General features: G+C 40.9%; 2 protein-coding genes and 1 long non-coding RNA gene across 11 annotated transcripts in view, besides 8 other annotated features; 2 read left to right on the top strand and 1 right to left on the bottom strand.

The window, feature by feature from the left end:
- The window catches only part of IFT74 (intraflagellar transport 74), a 119,025-nt gene extending 102,669 nt beyond the window's left edge, over window positions 1-16,356 (bottom strand). For 3 of the 5 annotated variants that reach the window (NM_001349928.2, NM_025103.4, NM_001099224.3), the window contains exons 1-2: window positions 6,950-7,054; window positions 1,379-1,517 (exon numbers count right to left, since the gene is read on the bottom strand). In NM_001349928.2, coding sequence (NP_001336857.1) covers window positions 1,379-1,498 — 120 coding nt within the window. In that variant the 5' untranslated portion in view covers window positions 1,499-1,517; window positions 6,950-7,054. Of the gene's footprint in view, window positions 1-1,378; window positions 1,518-6,949; window positions 7,055-16,002; window positions 16,167-16,319 lie in introns of those variants that run through there. The other 2 variants (NM_001099223.3, NM_001099222.3) reach the window with 2 other exon arrangements.
- Window positions 5,481-5,775: a silencer, noted in NCBI's record as "tiled region #4046; HepG2 Repressive non-DNase unmatched - State 3:PromF". NCBI's record gives its function as "represses a minimal TATA promoter and a strong SV40 promoter by Sharpr-MPRA in HepG2 cells {active_cell/tissue: HepG2}" and the evidence as "EXISTENCE:reporter gene assay evidence [ECO:0000049][PMID:27701403]".
- Window positions 6,372-7,106: an enhancer, noted in NCBI's record as "NANOG-H3K27ac hESC enhancer chr9:26956358-26957092 (GRCh37/hg19 assembly coordinates)". NCBI's record gives its function as "activates a minimal SCP1, AML or CMV promoter by ChIP-STARR-seq in primed H9 embryonic stem cells {active_cell/tissue: H9 hESC(primed)}" and the evidence as "EXISTENCE:reporter gene assay evidence [ECO:0000049][PMID:30033119]".
- Window positions 7,107-7,842: an enhancer, noted in NCBI's record as "NANOG-H3K27ac hESC enhancer chr9:26955622-26956357 (GRCh37/hg19 assembly coordinates)". NCBI's record gives its function as "activates a minimal SCP1, AML or CMV promoter by ChIP-STARR-seq in primed H9 embryonic stem cells {active_cell/tissue: H9 hESC(primed)}" and the evidence as "EXISTENCE:reporter gene assay evidence [ECO:0000049][PMID:30033119]".
- Window positions 7,159-7,686, top strand: IFT74-AS1 (IFT74 antisense RNA 1). Its single transcript, NR_121605.1, has 2 exons — window positions 7,159-7,339; window positions 7,451-7,686. It is a non-coding gene; the product is annotated as an IFT74 antisense RNA 1 (long non-coding RNA).
- Window positions 15,800-16,473: an enhancer, noted in NCBI's record as "NANOG-H3K27ac-H3K4me1 hESC enhancer chr9:26946991-26947664 (GRCh37/hg19 assembly coordinates)". NCBI's record gives its function as "activates a minimal SCP1, AML or CMV promoter by ChIP-STARR-seq in naive H9 embryonic stem cells {active_cell/tissue: H9 hESC(naive)}" and the evidence as "EXISTENCE:reporter gene assay evidence [ECO:0000049][PMID:30033119]".
- Window positions 15,901-16,210: an enhancer, noted in NCBI's record as "active region_28252". NCBI's record gives its function as "activates an Ori minimal core promoter by ATAC-STARR-seq in GM12878 lymphoblastoid cells {active_cell/tissue: GM12878}" and the evidence as "EXISTENCE:reporter gene assay evidence [ECO:0000049][PMID:35858748]".
- PLAA (phospholipase A2 activating protein) overlaps window positions 16,224-21,628 on the top strand; it is a 43,871-nt gene continuing 38,466 nt past the window's right edge. For all 5 annotated transcript variants that reach the window (NM_001321546.2, NM_001031689.3, XM_047424083.1 and 2 more), the window contains exon 1: window positions 16,224-16,569. In NM_001321546.2, coding sequence (NP_001308475.1) covers window positions 16,421-16,569 — 149 coding nt within the window. In that variant the 5' untranslated portion in view covers window positions 16,224-16,420. The remainder of the gene's footprint in view (window positions 16,570-21,628) is intronic.
- Window positions 16,471-16,730: an enhancer, noted in NCBI's record as "active region_28251". NCBI's record gives its function as "activates an Ori minimal core promoter by ATAC-STARR-seq in GM12878 lymphoblastoid cells {active_cell/tissue: GM12878}" and the evidence as "EXISTENCE:reporter gene assay evidence [ECO:0000049][PMID:35858748]".
- Window positions 16,471-17,149: a biological region, named in NCBI's record as "NANOG-H3K27ac-H3K4me1 hESC enhancer GRCh37_chr9:26946315-26946990".
- Window positions 16,474-17,149: an enhancer, noted in NCBI's record as "NANOG-H3K27ac-H3K4me1 hESC enhancer chr9:26946315-26946990 (GRCh37/hg19 assembly coordinates)". NCBI's record gives its function as "activates a minimal SCP1, AML or CMV promoter by ChIP-STARR-seq in naive H9 embryonic stem cells {active_cell/tissue: H9 hESC(naive)}" and the evidence as "EXISTENCE:reporter gene assay evidence [ECO:0000049][PMID:30033119]".

Genomic DNA, 21,628 nt, shown 5'->3' with positions numbered 1-21,628 from the left:
ACCCAAAGGACTATAAATCATGCTGCTATAAAGACACATGCACACGTATGTTTATTGCGGCATTATTCACAATAGCAAAGACTTGGAACCAACCCAAATGTCCAACAATGATAGACTGGATTAAGAAAATGTGGCACATATACACCATGGAATACCATGCAATCATAAAAAATGATGAGTTCATGTCCTTTGTAGGGACATGGATGAAATTGGAAATCATCATTCTCAGTAAACTACCGCAAGAACAAAAAACCAAACACCGCATATTCTCACTCATAGGTGGGAATTGAACAATGAGATCACATGGACACAGGAAGGGGAATATCACACTCTGGGGACTGTTGTGGGGTGCGGGGAGAGAGGAGGGATAGCATCGGGAGATACACCTAATGCTAGATGACGAGTTAGTGGGTGCAGCACACCAGCATGGCACATGTATACATATGTAACTAACCTGCACAATGTGCACATGTACCCTAAAACTTAAAGTATAACAAAAAAATAAAAATAAAAAAAAGAAAAAAAGAAAAAAAAAAAAATTAGTAAAGTTTACCTTTTAATTTTAAGATTCTGATCCTATATATGGTATATATATTATAAATGTTTTTACCAGTTGTCATTTCTAATTTTTTATGGTGTTTTATTTTTTGTAAATTCAGATATATAATAAAAATATTTTCCTTTTCAGTACTTGTTATTTCTGTCATGTTTAGAAAGCCTAGCCCATATCAAGTTTATACAGAATACTTGCCAACATTTTCCTCTACTACATTTATGGTTTCATTTTTGAAATACCAAGTTTCTAAGCTATGTAGAATTCTGATAAAAGGTATAAGAGAGGATTAAAAATACTTTTAAACAAATGGTTTAACAATTATTGGAATGTTCTATTGAATGCTCCATGTTTTGCCAACTAATTTGAAACACACATTAATCATTAACTAAATTCTTATATGCTTGATTCTATTTGAGGTCTATTCCATTTCATTTTATTCTGGCCCCAATACACTATTCAACTAAAATTATTGCAGCTTTAAATTGAGTATCTGCAGGAGCAGGCATCTTCTTCCCAGAGTGTCTTTCAAACACTCTTCCACATTTACATTTCCAGATGCTTTCCAAAAAACAAAACAAACATGTTTAATAATATGCTTATGAAATAAAGAAACAACAAAGTAGAATCTCTTATTACAGAGGGGATTTCCAACTTCTACCACAATATATGCACAAGCATTCAACAGATTTTTGAGACAGTCTCAAAAACTCAAAAACTGGGGTGCAGTGGCATGATCAGAGTTCACTGAAGCCCCAGTCTCCTGGACTCAAGTGGTCCTCCCACCTTGGCCTCCCAAAGTAAATAGATTTGTTTCAAACTTACTGCAGTTGCCACTCGAATATTTCCTGATAGGGGTCGTATCCCAGAAGGAGGCCTTCCTGTTAACCCAACTCCACCTCTTGAAACAGGGCGAGCTGCTGAAGATTTGTGATTGCTGGCCATTGTTTCTTCACTTTAATCGCTGTTTGGAAACAATAAATAGTTCAATCCTTTGATGTCTTCTCTAGCAAGACAATAATGACCCATCATACCCTTACATTTAATTCACAACAATTGTTCTTGCAAACTGCCGTTCTGTGTACCACTACAAGGCTAATTTTGTTCAAATATGACATCGTGCTCCATTTACAACTATGAGATTGTTTCTTGCAACATTCCTTCCTCATCTTTCTATTATCTTACCAAAATGCAAGCCCCTCTATTATCTATTTCTTTAGTATTCTCATCCCATACTCTGGTAAATTTTCTCTCCCATCATAGCCAACATCTTTCTTTGCCCCTAATCCTTTCTCTGCACTTTCTGGTCCATGATTAACTCTTATATTCTGAATCTTGTTACAAATACTTTCTATTTTCTTAACTTTAACAGAATCTTGATTTCCCCTGAGAGTAACACTTTCGGTAGTCCAAGTGTTTTAGCTTCCTGTCCCACAATTTTAAAGAAAAGGAGGTGGCACTTTTCTTGCTCCTCAGGGTCACTTTCAAAACATTCTTCCACACCTTTAAAAAAATTAACAAGAGGCCAGGCGCAGTGGCAAACGCGTGTAACCCCAGCACTTTGGGAGGCCAAGGCAGGTGGATCATGAGGTCAGCAGATGGAGACCATCCTGGCTAACACAGGGAAACCCCGTCTCTACTAAAAATACAAAAAATTAGCTGGGCGTGGTGGCGGGTGCCTGTAGTACCAGCTACTCAGGAGGCCGAGGCAGGAGAACGGCATGAACCTGGGAAGCAGAGTTTGCAGTGAGCCGAGATTGCGCTACTGCACTCCAGCCTGGGCGACACAGCGAGACTCCATCCCCCCACCCAAAAAAAAAAAAAAAAAACAAGATTCACTTCTTCTGAGGATCTGGGAATGCAACAATATTGCCTTGATCTTTCCTGGTTGCTGGTAATTAGTGACTTCCTAATCTCTCCTCTATCTTTACTAAAGTCTTTTGTACCTAGTTCACAGCTTCTCTATTCCAATCTCACCATCACCCTGGATGACTTCCATCTAGATACTAGATCCAATACCTAACACTCCAGCTTCACAGTTCCCTGACCTCAACTTTAGCAATGATCTTAACTCCATTTCAGTAATTTATAGCCATGGCGAGACATGGAGCTTGTCATCATCTGGAATTGCTTCACCTCAAACATCTTAATTGAAATACTCTATTCTCTGGTCTTCTCCTCTCCTACCCTTTTCTCATCTTCATTCTGCTACACCTGCCTTTAAACCATTTCCTTAATTCACTCATTCTCTCCCAGTTTATCAGCCCTCTCCTTTATTCATCAGAATATAACATTATTTAAAATTCTGTCTCATAATTTAGAGTAGTAGTTTTCAAATTGTTGGTCACATCCGTTAGTAAGTTCTGAAAACAATTTTGTAGGTTATGACCAAGATACTTAAACGTGAAATAAAATTTAAACAAAAAGAGCTCACTGAAAATATGAAGGGTAAACATTGTTTCAGTAAATTTTTGTTTCAGCTATATTTACATAAATTTACACATATGTGTTTACTGGGCTACAATATAAAAATGTATGTCCTATTGTAGGTCATATAAAATAGTTATGAAGATACTTATCTAGACAAAGAATATGGAGAAAAAGAGAATAGTGCCCAAGATTCTGTCCTGAGGAACATCAATACATACAGATTACACACAAGAGGAAAATCTAGTATGAGAGACTGAAAATTAAGGCCCAGAAAGCAAAGAAAAAAACCAGGAGTGTGTGTCAGAGACGCCAAGAGAAGGCAGGAATCTGAGCCATGCCATTTACGTTGGAAATTCAAGTAAGATGAAAACTGAAATGTCCAATGGAGTCCCCATTCAAGAAGTCACTAGTGATACCTTGACAAGGGTGTTTAAGAACTCTCCTCCTTCTCTCAAGAAATTAGTGTCTCATGAGCACTATCAACTAATTTGTATCCTTGAACTATTCTCCAGCCCATCTGGCAAAATCAGAAACCCTTCTCTACATCCAATCTGAAGTGCTGAACATTGCTGATGGAAATCATACAACTGTACAGACTGGGGTACTGCAAAGTGATAGTCACAAATCTTAGCTGGACCCTCATTTCAGAAATGATTTATCCTTGTTAAGATACTTCTCTACTTGATGATTCTCACCCTTAACTACTTTTCTATTTAACCTCTGTTCCTGCCACTCTCAGCAGATGACTCATTTAAAAAAATTACAACTTGAACTCCATCACCTTTGGGGCACATAAACTTCTCTACATCCATCCTGCCCTCCAGTCTCAACAGCCATTCCTTCTCTCATTCAAGATCAATCTTACTCTGATTTACCCTTGATCCCATCTTTTTTGTGGCATTAACCTCACTGCTACCAATTATCTTTAAACTTTCTCCTTTCCTTCAGTCTGTTACCATGTTCAATTCTTTCCTACCTTCAAAAACTTATTTCTTGATCCTGCAACCACCTCTATCTAACTGTCCCATACATCCTTCCCTTATGCAGCCAAATTCCTAAGAATAGCTTATATCCAGCCGGGCGCGGTGGCTCATGCCTGCAATCCCAGCACTTTGGGAGGCCGAGGCGGGCGGATCACGAAGTCAGGAGATCGAGACCATCCTGGCTAACACGGTGAAACCCTGTCTCTACTAAAAAATACAAAAAATTAGCCGGGTGTGGTGGCGAGTGTCTGTAGTCCCAGCCAATCGGGAGGCTGAGGCAGGAGAATGGCGTGAACCCGGAAGGCAGAGCTTGCAGTGAGCTGAGATCGTGCCACTGCACTCCAGCCTGGGCGACAGAGCGAGACTCCGTCTCAAAACAACAACAACAACAACAACAACAACAACAACAAAAAGAATAGCTTATATCCACTATTTTCTACTGCTTCATTTCCCAGTATCTCCTGGATTGCTACCGTTTGATTCAAATGACCCCTGCCAATATTGCCAGTGCTGTAAATGTCATCCTACTTTACTGGTGTCCACATTTATATGAAACATCTCCATGACACTTCCCTCTCTTCTGGTTCTTTTTTCTGTCTCCTTGATCTGTCCTTATATAGAGCATTTTCTAAGATACCATCCACCATCTTTTTCTTTTCTCTCTCTAAACTCCCCTTGGGCCCCCTTATCCACACTCAGGGTTTTAACAATTAATAAACTGATTCCACACAACTTCCTTATTTTAGCACTCAGCTTGCGGTGTTTATATCCAAATAATAACATCTCCACTTAGATGTCTAAATATTTCAAAATAAACATATGTAATCCAAACTCATTATCATCTGCTCAAAATTTGTCCTTCCTCTTGGTGTCACCTCCTAGTCACACAAGTAAGAAATTTAGTCCTTGACATCTTCCTCTCCCTTACTCCCATGGCTGGTCACATAGTTCTACTGAGTTTGTTTTGTTTAGTTCTACTGATTTTGTTCCTAAGTGTTTAACAGGTACTTTACTCTCTATTCCTACAGCACTGGCCAATTCAGGGCATCACTGACTCAGGTGGACTATTATACCAGCCTCTTAAGTGGTCCCCTTGCCTAACACACATTTTGCCTATTACTTTCTCTGGGAATCCTTCCATGACCAGTCCATAACTGGTCTTGGAATCTTCGTCTTCTTCAATTTCAGTGTATAGGCCTGTTCTACATGCTACCATGCATCCTGTGTATTACTTTATTCCAGAACCTATCACACCACTTGAAATGATCTGCTTAAGTATTTCTCACCCTTTATGGCAAGAGCTGAATCTTAATCATCTTTATATCCCCAAAATCTGTCTCAGTGATAAGCAAAAACTTTGTTCTCTCTTGTATCTTTTAAATTTCCTCGTACATAAAGGTATTGCCAATTACAAAAATTTACTAAATTGTTAAAAAGCAAACAAAGCGACCGGGAGCGGTGGCTCACGCCTGTAATCCCAGAACTTTGGGAGGCCGAGGCGGGTGGATCACGAGATCAGGAGATGGAGACCATCCTGGCTAACATAGTGAAACCCTATCTCTACTAAAAATACAAAAAAAAAATTATCCGGGCGTGGTGGCGGGCGTAGTCCCAGGAGGCGGAGCTTGCAGTGAGCCGAGATCGCGCCACTGCACTCCAGCCTGGGCGACTGAGCAAGACTCCGTCTCAAAAAAAAAAAAGGCAAACAAAGCGTGTGTTGGACTAAAATGATTTCTCTGTTTCTACACTCTATGTCCAGTACTACTTTTCTGACTTTTCTTAGCATTACTCGTAATCAGTCCTTGGACTGCTTCTATCCTTTCTACAGTCATGCATCTTTATAACTCCAACTATGTGTACGGCTCACTAATCAATGTCTACAGTTCTGCCCTTTCAACTGGGCACCAATTTTGAGTTTTCAATTGTTTATCTGAAATTTCCATTCAGATATCTCATTTGAATATGTTCACATCAATCTTCCTGACCCCACTAGCTCCCTGATTCTAATTCCTTGCCATTTTGAACTCTATGTACAAAGCAAAAGAATTTCAAATGGAAAAAGGAATTTCATGAAATGACTCTTTGAAAAGGAAGACGGTGTATGATCAAAATGGTTTTTCCAGAAGAAAACGAGTACAATAAACATCTCTTTCCAGTGGAAAAGATATTACTCTAGGTTTCCTGCTAACTTTGAGAAAATGTACAACATAAAAAATTTCACCCAATTTTCTTTGCCACCGTTTTACTGTGGTGAAAAAAAGCTTACCATTATATTATTACCAGTGGGATTAAGAGGCGGGCATTAGCAACAAATATACCACTAACTTCGGGGTTATTCAATCAAAGAGTCACACAATTTCCAATTATTCACACAGAGAGGCAGCCTGGCCTTTGGATCCAGAATGATTAGCGATACAAACTAGTGCTGACAAAGTTAGCGGCTGCATAATCTTGCCACCTTAATTAACCCCTCAGGATTTCATCTTCTGTAAAACAGAAGGGTGACATCTACCTTGCAGGGCTGTTGTGAAGACGATAAGTATTACATTTAAAACATCTGCTTCTAATTATTATTACTATCGTTATCCTCCCTAAGCCAACCATTCTCACACAGGTGAATAAGTGGAAAGTTGCTAACTGCCCGCACTGTGATCAACAGACAGAAATAAGTCCCTTCCACTGTAAGAGGCAGAAATGTATTGCTTTGACTAAAATCCTTCAGCCCATCGCGGTCCTTCCCTCTGCTCTGTGCTTGGCGGGTCTCCTGCGGGGGGTCGGGGAGGGGTCGGGCTGTTGGAGGAGGTCTGTTCGCAACCTTCGCTCGACTAGAATTGGTACATGCCTGGCCTGGCTACAGGCCCGACGGTAACAGTTAGCTAAGACCGAGTTTGAATTTGTTTTGTTTGGAGCGGATCAGCATCTCCAAGGCAAGAGAACAGACGTGGGAGGGAGGGAGGAAGAGATGGGACCCGGGGATTCTCACCTCCGCCGGCGCGGAAGGAGGGCAGTTGCCCGGCTCGCGGGTGCCTTAACTTCTTTCTGAGGCCCACGCTCAGTTTTCCTCGGCTCTCAGGCCTACCCACTAACTGCCGTGCGCCGCGGCGTATCCCGGCAACGGGGGCGGGATAGCGGAGGCTCCTCATCCTGAGTGACCAATCCTCCGCCTCAGCCCTTGGTTACACACGGAGCTCTCGCGAGAATTGAGGATATGTTTGTTTCTTCACCACGCTTCAGTGCTTTTTGGAAAAAGTGGAAAACAGCGGGGCGGCTGGAAGACAAACATTTTATGTGAACGTTTGGTTTTCTTGATAATCAGAGCAACCTCCGTGTGCCTTACTTGAAGTAACTCTAGCGAGTTTTGCTATGTCCCTAGGTAACCTCACGTCGGCTAACGTTGTTAACAGGTTACATTTGAAGTTAAGTGGTAGGCAGCATTGTGCAATTTTCTAAACTCCTAATTTGTGGTAGTTTTCCTTCCTATTAGGACGGCATAGCGTACACAACGCATCATGAAGTATGGATGCGATTCTGGCACCAACTGTTCCGTTCCTGCTTTCACCAGAAGCTTTGCGTCTTTAAGCTTCCTTTCATTAGAATTTGGATCCAAGTTTGTGGGGAAGACTGTGAATTCAATGGAAAGTGTCCTTTTTTTTTTTTTTTTTAATTTAAGAACTACTTCACCTTAAATCCCACTTCTCTAATAAAATAACTTTTACTGTATGTTTCCTTCCAATCTTCATTGATAACAGCTTAAATGTGATTGCATATGTATTGGGATTTTAACATTATTTTACACATTATTTCCAACTTGCCTGCCTTCGAGGAGTTAAAAATCAATACAACACAAAATGAGATAATGTTATGTGGCTGAATTCTCCCTTAGTTTGTGAAACATTTTCATGTAATTATCTCATTTGAGCTCACCCTATTTGCAGTGGCCATTTGTCATCCTTTTGGCAGAGTTTCTCCCTTACCCTGCCCCCCAACACCCTTACAGGAACTGAAAGTGACAGATACTGGCTTTCCTAGTCTTCCTTATTACTGGGACATGAGTATTATTGCTTGCTAGACTCTCCAATCTAATTTGGTGGACTCAACTCAAACTTGAATGACAACCAGAAGCAGGACTTCAGAGAGTCTGTTGAAGTAAGGGTGACAGCCGCAGTAACTACATCGTTTCCGAGACTGCAATGTTCTATCACCAGCAACCAGTGTCCAGCATCAGTGTGTTGTTGCAAGCTGCAGTGTTAGGTACTCAGAGGCTTTATTGGGAGGAGAACCTCTAGCTTGTTTCTTCAGCTTCTGGGAGAGTCTGTGAGCTGCTTAATGTCCTTTAATAAATTCATTTTCAGCTTTTATATCATTTATAGATGATTTCTGTTCCTTGCACTTAAGGACCCTGACAGATATTAACAGTTGAAATTGGCAGGACAGATACTATTATCCAAGTTTTAAAGAGATTAAATAATTTGCTTAAGCTCATTTAGGTAGTAAGTATTGATCCCTGTCCCCATTTCTTTTTCATGATGAAAAAGGAATAGAGAATAGGAATACATCTCACTTATTTGCCTCTGAGCTTCCTTAGAGTAGGCACCATATCTTATTTGACTTTGGATCATTATGTATTAGGTTCTGTTGCTTTTAAGGTTATATCAAATTGGAATTAGGTTATATCAAGTTGTAATTTGGTTAGTAATTAGGTTATGTCAAATTTTAAGTTTATTGTAAGACTACTTGTGTTTCAAGTTCCTTTCTGTCTCTAGTCCTTTTCACTGCAATTCTCTCTTCCTGGAATCTTTGTCCCTCTGCTTTTCACTGTCCAAAGTCCTGTTCATCATTCAGGTCTTAACCCAAATGTCTTTTATTAGAGAGGTCTTCTCTGCCAGTCCATACTAGATTAGTGCTCCAACTCCTTCTGGCCCCCCACCTCATTATATGTCCTCAGTGCACCCTGTACTATTCCTATCTGTTAAAAGGTAAACTTTGGCACATTAAAATTTTAAAGAGCTTATTTGAACAGACAGCAATTCATGAATTAGGCAGCTCCAAATCATAAGTGGTTTGGGGCTCCCCCAGAGGTAGTTGAAAGCTTTCAGAGAGTAAATGCAGAGCACAGCAAAGAAATTATTTGACTGGTTAAAGTTTGAGCAGTTGCCTTATTTGGACTGTTCTTGTGGGAAGTTCAAGACGATATAACTGATGACTAGTTGGCCACTTGTGATTCCGTTTTAAGTTTCAGTTTCCTCATGTAGGAACTCAGTGCATTAGAGCGACTTCAGTCTAATGGCCTCCAATTTAATTATTTTAACACTACATATCACTCATTATAACTTGCAGTTATATGTTTATTTTTGTTGTCAAAGATAACAAACCCTGACAGTAGGGACACATTTTTATCCATAATTTACTACTGCAATAGGGAAAATAGTCCAATGTGAAAGGAATTCAACCTTGATTTGTACAGCAGTGATTGGATGTTTTAAAGGGAGAATGAGGGAGTAGGGAAGGGAGCAAGTGGGTACTCAGTAGAGTCAAGGGCAATAAGGCCCAATGAAGAGGATACCACTTGGTACTGAATATGGCCAGTTACGCTTATGTAGCCCAGGGTGCACAGAAGAAAAATGTTAACAAAATAACTCAAAAATGTCTTTGTAGGATGTTTGTAGGTTTTTTAAGAAAATAAATTTTTTGGCCAGGTGTGGTGGCTCATGCCTCTAATCCCAACATTTTGGGAGGCCAAGGCAGGAGGGTCACTAAGGCCAGGAGTTCAAGACTGGCCTGGGCAACATAGTGAGACCCCCCCCCTACAAAAAATGAAAACAAAAATGAATCTTAAAAAAGAAAAGACACTTTGAGGAGTGACATCATTAAGGTATTCTACTGTAAAATAGAGAAAAGTTAGTGAACTTACTAGTGAATATGTACATCAACTGAAATAAGATTTTTGGATACACTGGTAGGAGTGTCTATTGAAAGAAGATGGCTATAGAAATCCAAATGCACATGTCCTTTGACCCAGTAACTCCACTTCTAGGAAGTGAGCATATATTCACACTGAATTTATACATATAAATGACATATGCTGATGTCCAAGGTTATTTATTTGAGCAGTGTTTGTTACAGAGAAAGATTAGGAAAAAAATCAAACAACACTGAATTAATAATGCTATAGTCATAAAATCACATAAAATTTGGCCATCTATAAAAAAGAATGCTCCTTGTATACTGATATTGCAGAGGCTGACTAGGAACCCCAGAGCTAGTATAAAAATATTATTTTAACCTGAAGGCATTTGATGAAGGGGGAAAAAAACCTTCTCAGAGAGTTCCTTATCTCACTGAAAGCAAAATTTCTGGGGAATGATGCTACCATAAATACCCTAACTTATGGCCCGGAAGAACACCACTCCTAACTGTATAGATGAACGTGAACACAAACTTTCTTATTTGTTCTCCTAAAAGTCAATGTTTCTATTTTTTTCCCTGTAAAAGCTGTTTCTCCCCCACCATTTTCCCTACTAAGTTAGTTATATAAGCCTTTAACTTTAATCATTTGACTAGTCAGCTGCTGCTTTTGTTGGCTGTTTTATGCATAAGAAATTGATATTTTTCTCCTGTTAGTCTGTCTTTTTTCAGTTTAACTCATAGGCCCTTGAATAGTGAACATGACAGGGTAGAGGAAAAGCTTTCTTCTTCCCATACAATATGGAGAGTTTTCCAAGATATATAAAGTAAGGTGAGTAAGTATTCAATGTTAACATTTTCTTGCATCTGTATAAACAATCTTTGGGAAGAACACAAGAAACTGATAAGCCTCCAGAGAGGAAAACTGGGTGGTTAGGGTTTGAAAATGTGCATCCTTTACGTCTTTTGAATTTTAAACCAAGGAATGCATTATTATTACTTTTTAAAAATAAACTTTCGGCAAGGCACAGTGGCTCACGCCTGTAATCCCAGCACTTTGGGAGGCCTAGGCAGGCGGATCACCTGAGGTCAAGAGTTCGAGACCAGCCTGGCCAACATGGTGAAACCCCGTCTCTACTAAACATACAAAAATTAGCCGGGCATGGTGACAGACGCCTGTAATCCCAGCTACTCGGGAGGCTGAAGCAGGAGAATTGCTTGAACCCTAGAGGCAGAGGCTGCAGTGAGCCAAGATCGCGCCATTGCACTCCAGCTTGGGGACAAGAGTAAGACTTCGTCTCAAAAAAAAAAAAAAGGTTAAAAAAAATTAAATAAACTTTCAATGAGGGGACGATAAAAATCATAATGAATATTCACATTAGCCAGCTTTTAATGAATTATGCAATTATCTAGATAATATTTCAAAGCATATGAAAACAAAGGAAAAAGTGTCCTTAAATGTTTAACAAAAAAACTCACTAAAAGCCAAGAAAAACGCTTACTAAATGTATTGGCACTAGAAGAATGTTTTTCTCCTCTTTGGGCACCAAAAGCTTGAAAACAATTATCTTTTGGGAAATTGAAATGTATTAGCTTTGAAACATTTTCTGTCATGTTCCACAGTACTGGCAAGACGAATGTGATTTAGAAGCTGATAACCATCCTTAAAGATGAAGTTCATATTTCACTTGTTTTTTTTTGAGAGAGTCTTGCTGTTTCACCCAGGCTGGAGTGGAGTGGAGCTATCTCGGCTCACTGCAACCTCTGCCTCCCAGGTTCAAGTGATTCTTTGCCTCAGGCTCCCGAGTAGCTGGGACTACAGGCGCATACCACCACACCCGGCTAATTTTTTGTATTTTAGTAGAGACGGGGTTTCACTGTGTTGCCCAGGGTGGTTGTGAACTCCTGAGTTCAGGCAATCTACCTGCCTCAGTCTCCCAAAGTGGTAGTATTACAGGCGTGAGCCATTGCGCCCAGCCCATATTTCACATTTTATGGGTTTTTTTCTTATATATATGGACTTTGTTTTTTCAACATTCCCCTTATGGGGGACATATTTGTAGCCTCAATTTTCTAAGATCTGTACATGTAAAATTTCTATCATTTTCCAATGCATTTTAATATTTTATTTCATGTATGTATTGTGCTATACCAGCCCAAAGTTTTGGCACCAGAGTCTATGTGGCGAATTTTAGTTAAAAAAAAAATGCTAAACAATATTCTGTCACCATCACTTTCACACACAAGCCAAATACCATCCCTGTTACAATTCCTTTCTTTAGTTTGCCTGGGTTTTCCTACTAAGTTGCCAGCCCTGAACCATATTGACCCCAACTTCATTCCTGTATAATCTGCATTAATGCTGTTCTCAGTGCATTGAGGGCTTTTAAAATTAAATTTTAATGAAAACATCATATTGAGAACATAAACTGTGATGTTTACCTCAATTTACACAAACTGTGATGTTTAGTCCAGCTACCCAACTATTCCATGCATTTTCTCTGAGAGAACTACTGTCATTACGGACATTTTTCCTTCATGCCTTCAGGCATATGGGAGGGGGATCCAGAATTGTTATTTGTATGCAGACAGACAGTTGACATAAATGATTTGTTTTAAACCTTTGAACTGCTGAACACATAAAAACATTAAAATTATTTTTAAAGTATCAAGAACCCAATTTAGTGTTCATAGAATTTTAGTCCCAGCTGCACTATGTTCTAGTTATGTGACATTAAAATAGTTATTTCAGTTATTCATTAATTCATTAAGGTAACCAATAACATCTACTGAGCATTAACCTCCTATCAAGCTGTTAAAAGACAACACACATTAAAGTATTAAACAGTTCAGTTGAGCAGACAGTGATTCATGAATTGGGCAGCACCAAACCACAAGTGGTGAAACTCCATCTAGGGGCACTTAAACTACCTTTGCAGAATTATAACTAATGAGAGAAATCTAACATGACTGACTCCATTTTGCTCAAAACCTCACAGGCTAAACTAGTTTTTTGTTGTTGTCGTTTTATTGTTAGTTTGTTTTTTGCTTATTCTAGTGTGGAGGCTAAAATAACTATGCCAGGAATTTGGTTTATAGTTAAACTTTGAGGCAAGGAAAAGTGACCCCCCACCCCAACTCCTTGTATGGAGATTGAAGCTACATTCATAAGACAAGATTAGAATTATGGTAGAGGCTTGAACTTTGCTAAAGAATAGACATGCTCAAACAATAACTTGGCATTGTTTGATTAGCTTGCTTTTCTTTCTTTCTTTTTTTTTTTTTGAGACAGAGTCTCGCTCTGTTGCCAGGCTGGAGTGCAGTGGCGCAATCTCAGCTCACTGCAACCTCCCCCTCCCGGGTTCAAGTGATTCTCCTGCCTCAGCCTCCTGAGTAGCTGGGACTACAGGCGCGTGCCACCACACCCGGCTAACTTTTTGTATTTTTAGTAGAGACAAGGTTTCACCATGTTAGCCAGGATGGTCTCGATCTCCTGACCTTGTGATCCACCTGCCTTGGCCTCCCAAAGTGCTGGGATTACAGGCGTGAGCCACCTCACCCAGCCTAATTAGCTTGCTTTTCTATAGAGCCTCCTGCCCTGGAGTCACGTAACCAGAGGTCACAAGATTTGTAACTTCGCCAAGTACTCCTACAGATAACATCACTATTGTGAAACCTAATTAACTGGTCTTTGAGATATTTTTCAAATTTAGCATTTTGGCAGACCAACAGACACAACCTGGACCTGTGAACCCCACTCCTCAGAAATGACTCAGGTTCACGAAGATAGTTCTGACACACCTGTGATTCATCCCTGACCCAACCAATTAGCATTTCCCATTTCCTAGCCTCCTGCCCACCAACCGATCCTTTAAAAACCTAGTCTCTACATTCTTGGAGGTGGATTTGAGAAATATCTCCCATCCTCCTCGTTGGCTGGCCCTGTGATTATTCATCTTTCCCTGCTGCAACATTTGTAGTTCTCAGTGCATTGGTTTTTTGGAAGGCAGCAGGCAATTACACAGGGAAATGTGAAATTACACATTTCCCTGTGTAAAAGAACACAGGGGCAATTACAGCACGAGGGGAAAACTTTTATAAGGGGTTGGTGGAAGCAAGACTAAGAAAATATACTTACTTGATTGGTTAAAGTGGAAAGTCCTTAGTTAGAGGTTTGTCTGTTTCTGTTAGTTAAGCTTAAGTTTCATTTTACTGTTTACATTGAGTTGGGCTCCAGAGCTGGAACTATCTCAACCTAATGGCCTCCAAATTAACATTTTTTAAACAAGGCAAATTCTTCATGTGTGAAATGGGAATAATACTATCTACCTTGCAGGGTTATTGTGAGAACTAAATGAGAGACTGTGAAAATTGGTAAACTGAATACTATACCAAGTTGAAAAACATTTCCTATTATATAGGAGGCAGTAAATTAGATGGTTAAGATTCATGTAAAATAAAGGTCTTGATAATAATAAAATGTAGTCCGGTAGAAAAGACAGACATAAAAGAACATATTAGAATGCAGTAAATACTATATTGACAACAGACAAAACTGCATTGGTTCCCCAGAGGAACTAGAAAAAAACAGAAGATAAACTGGTGTTGAACTATGACAGATGGAGAAAGTGGAATTCTAAGTTTAAAAAAAAAATGCATGTACAAAGAGCATAGAGACATGGAGAGCATACAGCATAATGTGTTCAGGGAATTGTGACAAATTCGAAATGTCTAGAGTAAGAGAGATAACAGAGGGAGATGAATCTAGTAAAACAGATTAGGGAGATTGTGTGAAAGGCCCTATGTAATGCTGTACTATAAGAATGGAAAGCCGGCCAGGCGTGGTGGCTCACGCTTATAATCCAGCACTTTGGAAGGCAGAGGAGGGCAGATTATGAGGTCAAGAGATTGAGACTATCCTGGCCAACATGGTGAAACTCGTTTCTACTAAAAACACAAAATTTAGCTGGGCATGGTGGCGCGCTCCTGTAGTCCCAGCTACTCGGGAGGCTGAGGCAGGAATCGCTTGAACCCGGGAGGCGAGGGTTGCAGTGAGCCGAGATCGCGCCACTGCACTCAGCCTGGCAGCAGAGCGACACTCCGTCTCAAAAAAAAAAAAAAAAAAAAAAAAAAAAAAAAAAAAAAAATAATGGAAAGCCATCACAGGTTGTCAAACAGAGAAAAAACAATTAAGTGTATATTTCAGAAAGATAATTATATTTTAATGTGTAGGATTGGCTGGAGAGAAGGGGTAGAAAGGCCAGAGAAATGTTGAAATAATTTAAGTAGGACTAATTGGTACAGATTTCTAACAGATAGCTAGAAATACAGATCTAGAGTTTGGAGAAGACAATATGGGAATACAGCTCTAGAAATAAGCCAAGTAGTAAATAATCCACCCAGGGAGGGGATATGATAGCAAAGAAGTATCAAAAGTCAGCATTTCAAGAATGATCTCCCAAACCAGGGGAAAAGTGATTCCAAACCTAGAGTAGGAGTTTTAGGAAGGGAGAAGTCAGAAAAGTGTGAATTGGGCTTAGCAATTTAGAAAGGTTTGTGGAAAAGTGTAGTTGGATGCGAGAGAATAGCGGATGGGAAGAAAACAAAGTAAGGAGACAGGTCATGTTTACCCTGGCACTCAATAAGGTCTGATAATGACTAGCAAGTAGCACCACGGGTGGGTGGGCGGCGGGGTTGTTAAAAATACGTATCTCAGCTCTAACTCAGACCTACTGAATCAGAATCTACATTTTAACAAGCCGCCAGAGAAAAGTAGTTATACCTTTAAAAAATTGACTTGGACCACCGTATTTGCTAAATTTGACAACAGAGAGTAGGAGATTCAGATAACTTGAAACGGAGGAATAGTTCAATGATTAATAGTTCCCAATTTGGCCTCAAGCTTTCTCGTTTTAATTGAAAAACAAGGTTAACTTGCAAAAACCTCGAGATTCTCAGGGAAAAGCAGTGAGGATGACCTAACAGTAGACACCAAACAACCTCACTCAGCCATTCCGCCATGCCCAGCGCGAAAGACTCAGGTTTAAAATATCCGGATTCGGCGCGCCGGATGTCCACGCCAGCTGGCGCGGCATTATGGGAATTGTAGTCCCGGCCCGCTTCCCGATTTACCACAAACTGTTGGGCCCGGAGTCGGAAGAGACCCGGGTTTGGGAAGGACCCCAGGGTCAGGCGTCCTGGTGGAAGGGCGGGCCTCTTTCTCTCTTGCTCAGCAGGGAGTCCAGAGCCCTGGAGGAAAGCCAGCTCAGCTCCGCATCGGCGTCGGCGGTTGGGACGCACACACTCTGCGTCATGGAGGGCTGAGGCCGATGATGAATTCCGGAGTGCCTGTCAGGCTTGCTGTGTCACTCGGCCCGCTCGGCGCGCCCCTTCCCAGCCGCCCTTCCGTACCGGCTCTCGGGCTCTTCCGGTCTCCGGCCGCCCCTTACCTGCAGGCTCTTCTCCCGCCGCGGCCCGGCGCTCTCCGAGTCGCCCCTGCGGACTGGTCTCGCACAGTGCCTGGGCACCGGGCGCCAGACAGACACTGGCCATGACGAGCGGCGCAACCAGGTACCGGCTGAGCTGCTCGCTCCGGGGCCACGAGCTGGACGTACGGGGCCTGGTGTGCTGCGCCTATCCGCCGGGAGCCTTTGTGTCCGTGTCCCGAGACCGCACCACCCGCCTCTGGGCCCCAGACAGGTGAGCGCTGGGAGTCGGGTTGCCCCGGCTGTGTTGCACGCTTCCCGGAGAGTGGAAGGAGAGTGACCCTTCCCTGTCAGTCCTGCCGTCTCTCTCTCCCCCCAGCCTTCCCTCTGCTCTCCGCTCCCTTCCAATTCTCAGACTATTAGAACTCTGTAAGAAACCATCGGGATTTAAGTGGAAAGAGCACAGGGTTGGGGGACCAAAGACCTGCCTTGTTGTGCTAACTTGACCACAGACGAGTCTCCTACCTTTTGGGCCTTCAGTTTTTGGACGATGATCTCCCAAGTTTCTTTTAGACTTGAAAATTTACTGATTGCAGTTGCACCCTCCGAAGTGAGGTAGTTTGAAGGCATCTGAAATGTCCTCTTTTTTTTTTTTTTTCGAAGAAGATGCTCTGTAGTCTTCTGTAAAATTTAATTTTTGAAGACTTTAGTTCTCAAAAATTGCACTGGTGAATCCTCTTTTCGTCCAGGTTAGAATTTTAGTCTGTGGTCTGTGCTGGTCCTGAGGGAGTGAAACCTCTCGGATGTTTTGTTTCTGTGCATGTGCTGTTTCTTGAGGAGAAGCAGCATCCATTGCCTTCAAAGGATTTATCAGAAGGGTTCACGAACCAAAAAAAAAAAGAAGAAAAAGGTTAGGAATCAGTCCTGATCGAGTTCACGGGTTCAGCCCTGATTTGGCTGGTTGTAACAGGATATTTAAGACCTAGAAGACAGATTGCAGTTCAGAGAAAGAAAAATTGAGGTTAGTTATTTTGTTATTTAGTAGGTCTCCCACTGCTAGAGATTTTAGAATTTGAGTCACCATCCATAAATTCAGTTGATAACTGTTGAGTGCCTCCTCTTTGTTTGGGATACTGGAGAGGAATAAAGACAGACAAGTTGCCAGTGTTTCTGGAGCTTTCTTACAGTCTGATGGGGAAGATAGATTAAAAAACAAGCCAATAAATAATTAAAAACTGGCATGTGAAGAAAACATACAGTTAATTAGGTGGAGAGATATATTAAAGGAAGCCTCTCTGAGGAGTTGTTTGTTTAAAGTTGACATTTGAAGCATGAGATGGATGGAGCTGGTCGTGGAAGAGCAAATAGGGAGGATTGAATTGGAAGAGCATTCCAGGCAGCTGGAGGAGCAAACAGGAGGGAATTAGCTGTGAGGTGAGGGCAGGTTTTGAGGCTGGCAAGAGCCAGGTTATGGAGTTTGCAGATGGAAGCCTTCAAATAGTTTCAAGCAGGGAGCAACATGATCTGATTTCCGTGTTGAGAAGTTTCTGCTAGCTGATGGTAGAGAATAGATTGAGAAGGGATAAGTGTAGAAGTGGGTTTGCTTGGAGGCTTTTGAAGTAGTATAATCAACACAAGATGGTCCACTAGGCTAGGGATAGTATAGAGCAAATTCCTGTATTGAATTGAATGAGATGATCTCTAAAGATCTAACTCTAAAATTCTATAATATCCAAAACTACTTAGTAATACTAATATGGAACTTTTTGTTTGAGTACAGTTATTAAGTTTTTGCCTTTAAAATTGAATCCAGTAGAAGCATAAGCCCAGTAGAATATAACCATTGCAGTAAGGAGTATAATCAAGGATGCCTGTTTTAATAATGGAATCCTGTCATTAAACTTTTGGGACTGTACTAGTTTGACAAGGGTTTAATCACTGGAGTGGTTGTGCTTACCAGGAACTTGAAGAACTTTGGGCTGAACTGATTCTCTATTTGAAAAGTGATTTTGTTGTTCATTGAACTATTGATTTTTTTTTTTTGAGACAGAGTTTTGCTCTTGTTGCCCAGGCTGGAGTGCAATGGCACAATCTTGGCTCACTGCAACCTCCGCCTCCGGGGTTCAAGCGATTCTCTTGCCTCAGCCTCCCAAGAAGCTGTGATTACAGGCATGTGCCACCATGCCCGGCTAATTTTGTATTTTTAGTAGAGATGGGGTTTCTCCATGTTGGTCAGGCTGGTCTTGAACTCCTGACCTCAGGTGATCTGCCCACCTTGGCCTCCCAGTGTTGGGATTACAGGCGTGAGCCACCACGCCTGGCCGAACTCATGATTTTTTTGTTTTTGTTTTTCAAAATTCATTCCTGTATGTATTTATCTAACACTGATGAAGAACTTGCATTTTGCCACAGTGTGTGTTAGTGCGTAGTGAGATAAGATTATTTAGTCTCTCATATCCTGCTGGTTAGGTTAGCAAGCTTGTCCATCCTGTGGCCCATGGGTGGCTGTAAGAGTGGCCCAACACAAATTTCATAAACTTTCTTAAAACATTATGAGGCTTTTTTTGTGATTTTTTTAAAAATGCTCATCAGCTATTGTAATTATTAGTGTATTTTATGCGTGGCCAAAGACAATTTTTCTTCCAATGTGGCCCAGGAAAGTCAAAAGATTGGATACCCCAGGGTTAGAGTGTTTCATAGTCATTAGGTGATTAAGCTCTTATTGATGCCAACTGAAGTGTCTCAACCATACCTTTAATGTTGTAAAAGTGTCCTCAAATCTGACATATTGACAATTTTTATTTCATGATACATGTCTTCTCTTTTGTGTTGCTGTAGCAGAATACCACAGACTGGGTAATTTGTAAAGAAAAGAAATGTATTTTTCATAGTTCTGGATGCTGGGAAGTCCATTATCAAGGTATCGGCATCTTGAGAGGGCCTCTTTGCTGCTGTATCATCCTATGGTGGAAGGGTAGGAGAGCACACAGCAAGAGGCGCAGAGGGGCCAAACTTGCTTTTGTAACAAAGCCACTCTCTAACCCAGTCCCGCAATAATGACATTAATCTATTCATGGCGGCAGAACCCTCTTGATCTAATCACCTCTTAAAGGTTCTACTTCTCAACATGGTTGCATTGAAGGTTAAGTTTCCAGCACATGAACTTTGGGGGACACGTTCAGGCCATAATAGAATATTTGTGTGATTTTGTTTTTTTGACACAGGGTCTTGCTTTGTTGCCCAGGCTGGAATGCAATGGCATGATCACTGCCTTATTGCAGCCTCGACCTTCTGGGCTCAAACAATCCTCCCACCTCAGCCTCTTAAGTAACTGGGACTACAGGCAAGAACCACTATGCCCAGCTAATTTTTATTTATTTATTTTTGTAGAGATGAGCGTCTTACTAGATTGCCCAGGCTGGTCTCAAACTCCTGGGCTTAAGCAATCCTCCTGCCTCAGCCTTCCAAAGTGTTGGGATTAAAGGTGTGAACCACCACTCCCAGCTCATAACAGCATATTAATAGAGTTAATGAAATGCTATAAATGTTTGGAGTGAAGTCGTAAATGAAATTTGCTTTCCCATGTAGCCAAGTGGTAAATGAAATTTACCACTGTAAATTTGAATCAGTACCACTGATTCAACTTCAAATTCTTTGTTCATTACTGAATTGCCTCTTACTGAATCTGACCTGGTCTGTCTACCTCTGATGCAAATGAATTTACCACTGCTTTCCATGTATGTTGTTGCTAAGGTTCTAGATCAGGGTAGTAAATGTAGGGATGGACTGGGAATAATGGGGAAAGTTAGTTCTAGGGAGGCAGAAATAGTTCTGTTTTAGAGTAGACTAAACCAGGTACCTAGTCTTTCACAAAAGCCCTTTGAAAACCCAGAAAGTCTTTGGACCTTCAGAGTGGAGACATATCTGTTGGTTGGGCATTGAACTGAGCCAGCAACATGCCATTGTTTCAGACTACTTCAGGTCTCTATAAGCTAGCTTCAAGCTAAATTACATTTCCCAAGTCTGTCGTTGACTTCTGGGTGGGGAGAGATGAGTGAGATAGGACTTCAGCAGCTTTGCCTTTATATTGCCTTGCCTTTTGAAAAACGACCCATGCTTGAAGACACATCTTCAGATATAGGATCTGATTATATTAATCTATATTAATAGATTTTTTAGTTGTAATCTATTAGTTCCTACTGTAGAATATGAGAATTTAGCTCTCTTTCTGCCTTCCACTCACCCCATCACGTATGCATCTTTTTCTGTGCCTTTTTTTTTTTTTTTTTTTTTGAGACGAGTCTCGCTCTGTCGCCCAGGCCGGAGTGCAGTGGCGCTGTCTCGGCTCACTGCAAGCCCCGCCTCCCGGGTTGACGCCATTCTGCCTTAGCCTCCCGAGTAGCTGGGACTTTAGGCGCCCGCCACGGCGCCCGGCTAATTTTTTGTATTTTTAGTAGAGACGGGGTTTCACAGTGTTAGCCAGGATGGTCTGGATCTCCTGACCTCGTGATCCGCCCGCCTTGGCCTCCCAAAGTGCTCGGATTACAGGCGTGAGCCACCATGCCCGGCCTCCGTGCTCTGACTCTTATAATTTAAGCTGTGGAATAATCTATGATAACTCTTCCTCAACAATTTTATGATCTGCATGTGGCTAATAATTGTTTTATTTTGGTTTTCATTTGCTTAGCTTACTATGTATTTATCACTGAGTCAATTTCAAAGTCTTTGTTCGTTACCGAATCACCTCTTAAGGCCTTTAGATACATTGGATATTTTACAATTTCCTCTCCTGACAATGCAAACTTTCTGACCTGGTCTGTCTACCTCTGATGCACAACTAATCCTAGGATTTCCCTTCATTGTTGTTTCCAAAACAACTTTTTTGAACCTCATATGTTGGATTTTTATTGTCAGTATCCTTTAGCTTTCTCTTGGTTGGTTTTCTTCCTTGTTGCCTTATTGGAACATAACCTCTAAGAGCTTCCTGAAATGTAGTGCATCAGTAATAAATGTTTTAAGACCTTGCAAGTCTGAAAGTTATTTTATTTTGCCTTGTTACTGGCATGATAATTTGAATGGTTGTAGCATTCTAATTTTAAAATAATTTTCTTTCAGAATTGTGATGGAATCCATTGTATTTCATCTTCTAGTGTTACTGTTGAGAAGTCTGAAGCCATTCTGATTTTTGAACTATTTTTTTTTTCTTTCTGGAAGGCAGTCTACTTCTATCCATTGTTCCAGGCCATTGGCGGGCCCTTTTAATATGAAAACTCATGTCCATAAATTCTGGGAAATGTTCTTCAATTAATTCTTTGGCTGCTTTCTCTTTATTT

Source organism: Homo sapiens, chromosome 9 (genome assembly GCF_000001405.40).
Source record: "Homo sapiens chromosome 9, GRCh38.p14 Primary Assembly".
Classification (NCBI taxonomy): Eukaryota; Metazoa; Chordata; class Mammalia; order Primates; family Hominidae; genus Homo; species Homo sapiens.
The sequence above is the reverse complement of the archived record's forward strand: the minus strand, read 5'-3'. Positions and strand labels throughout refer to the sequence as shown.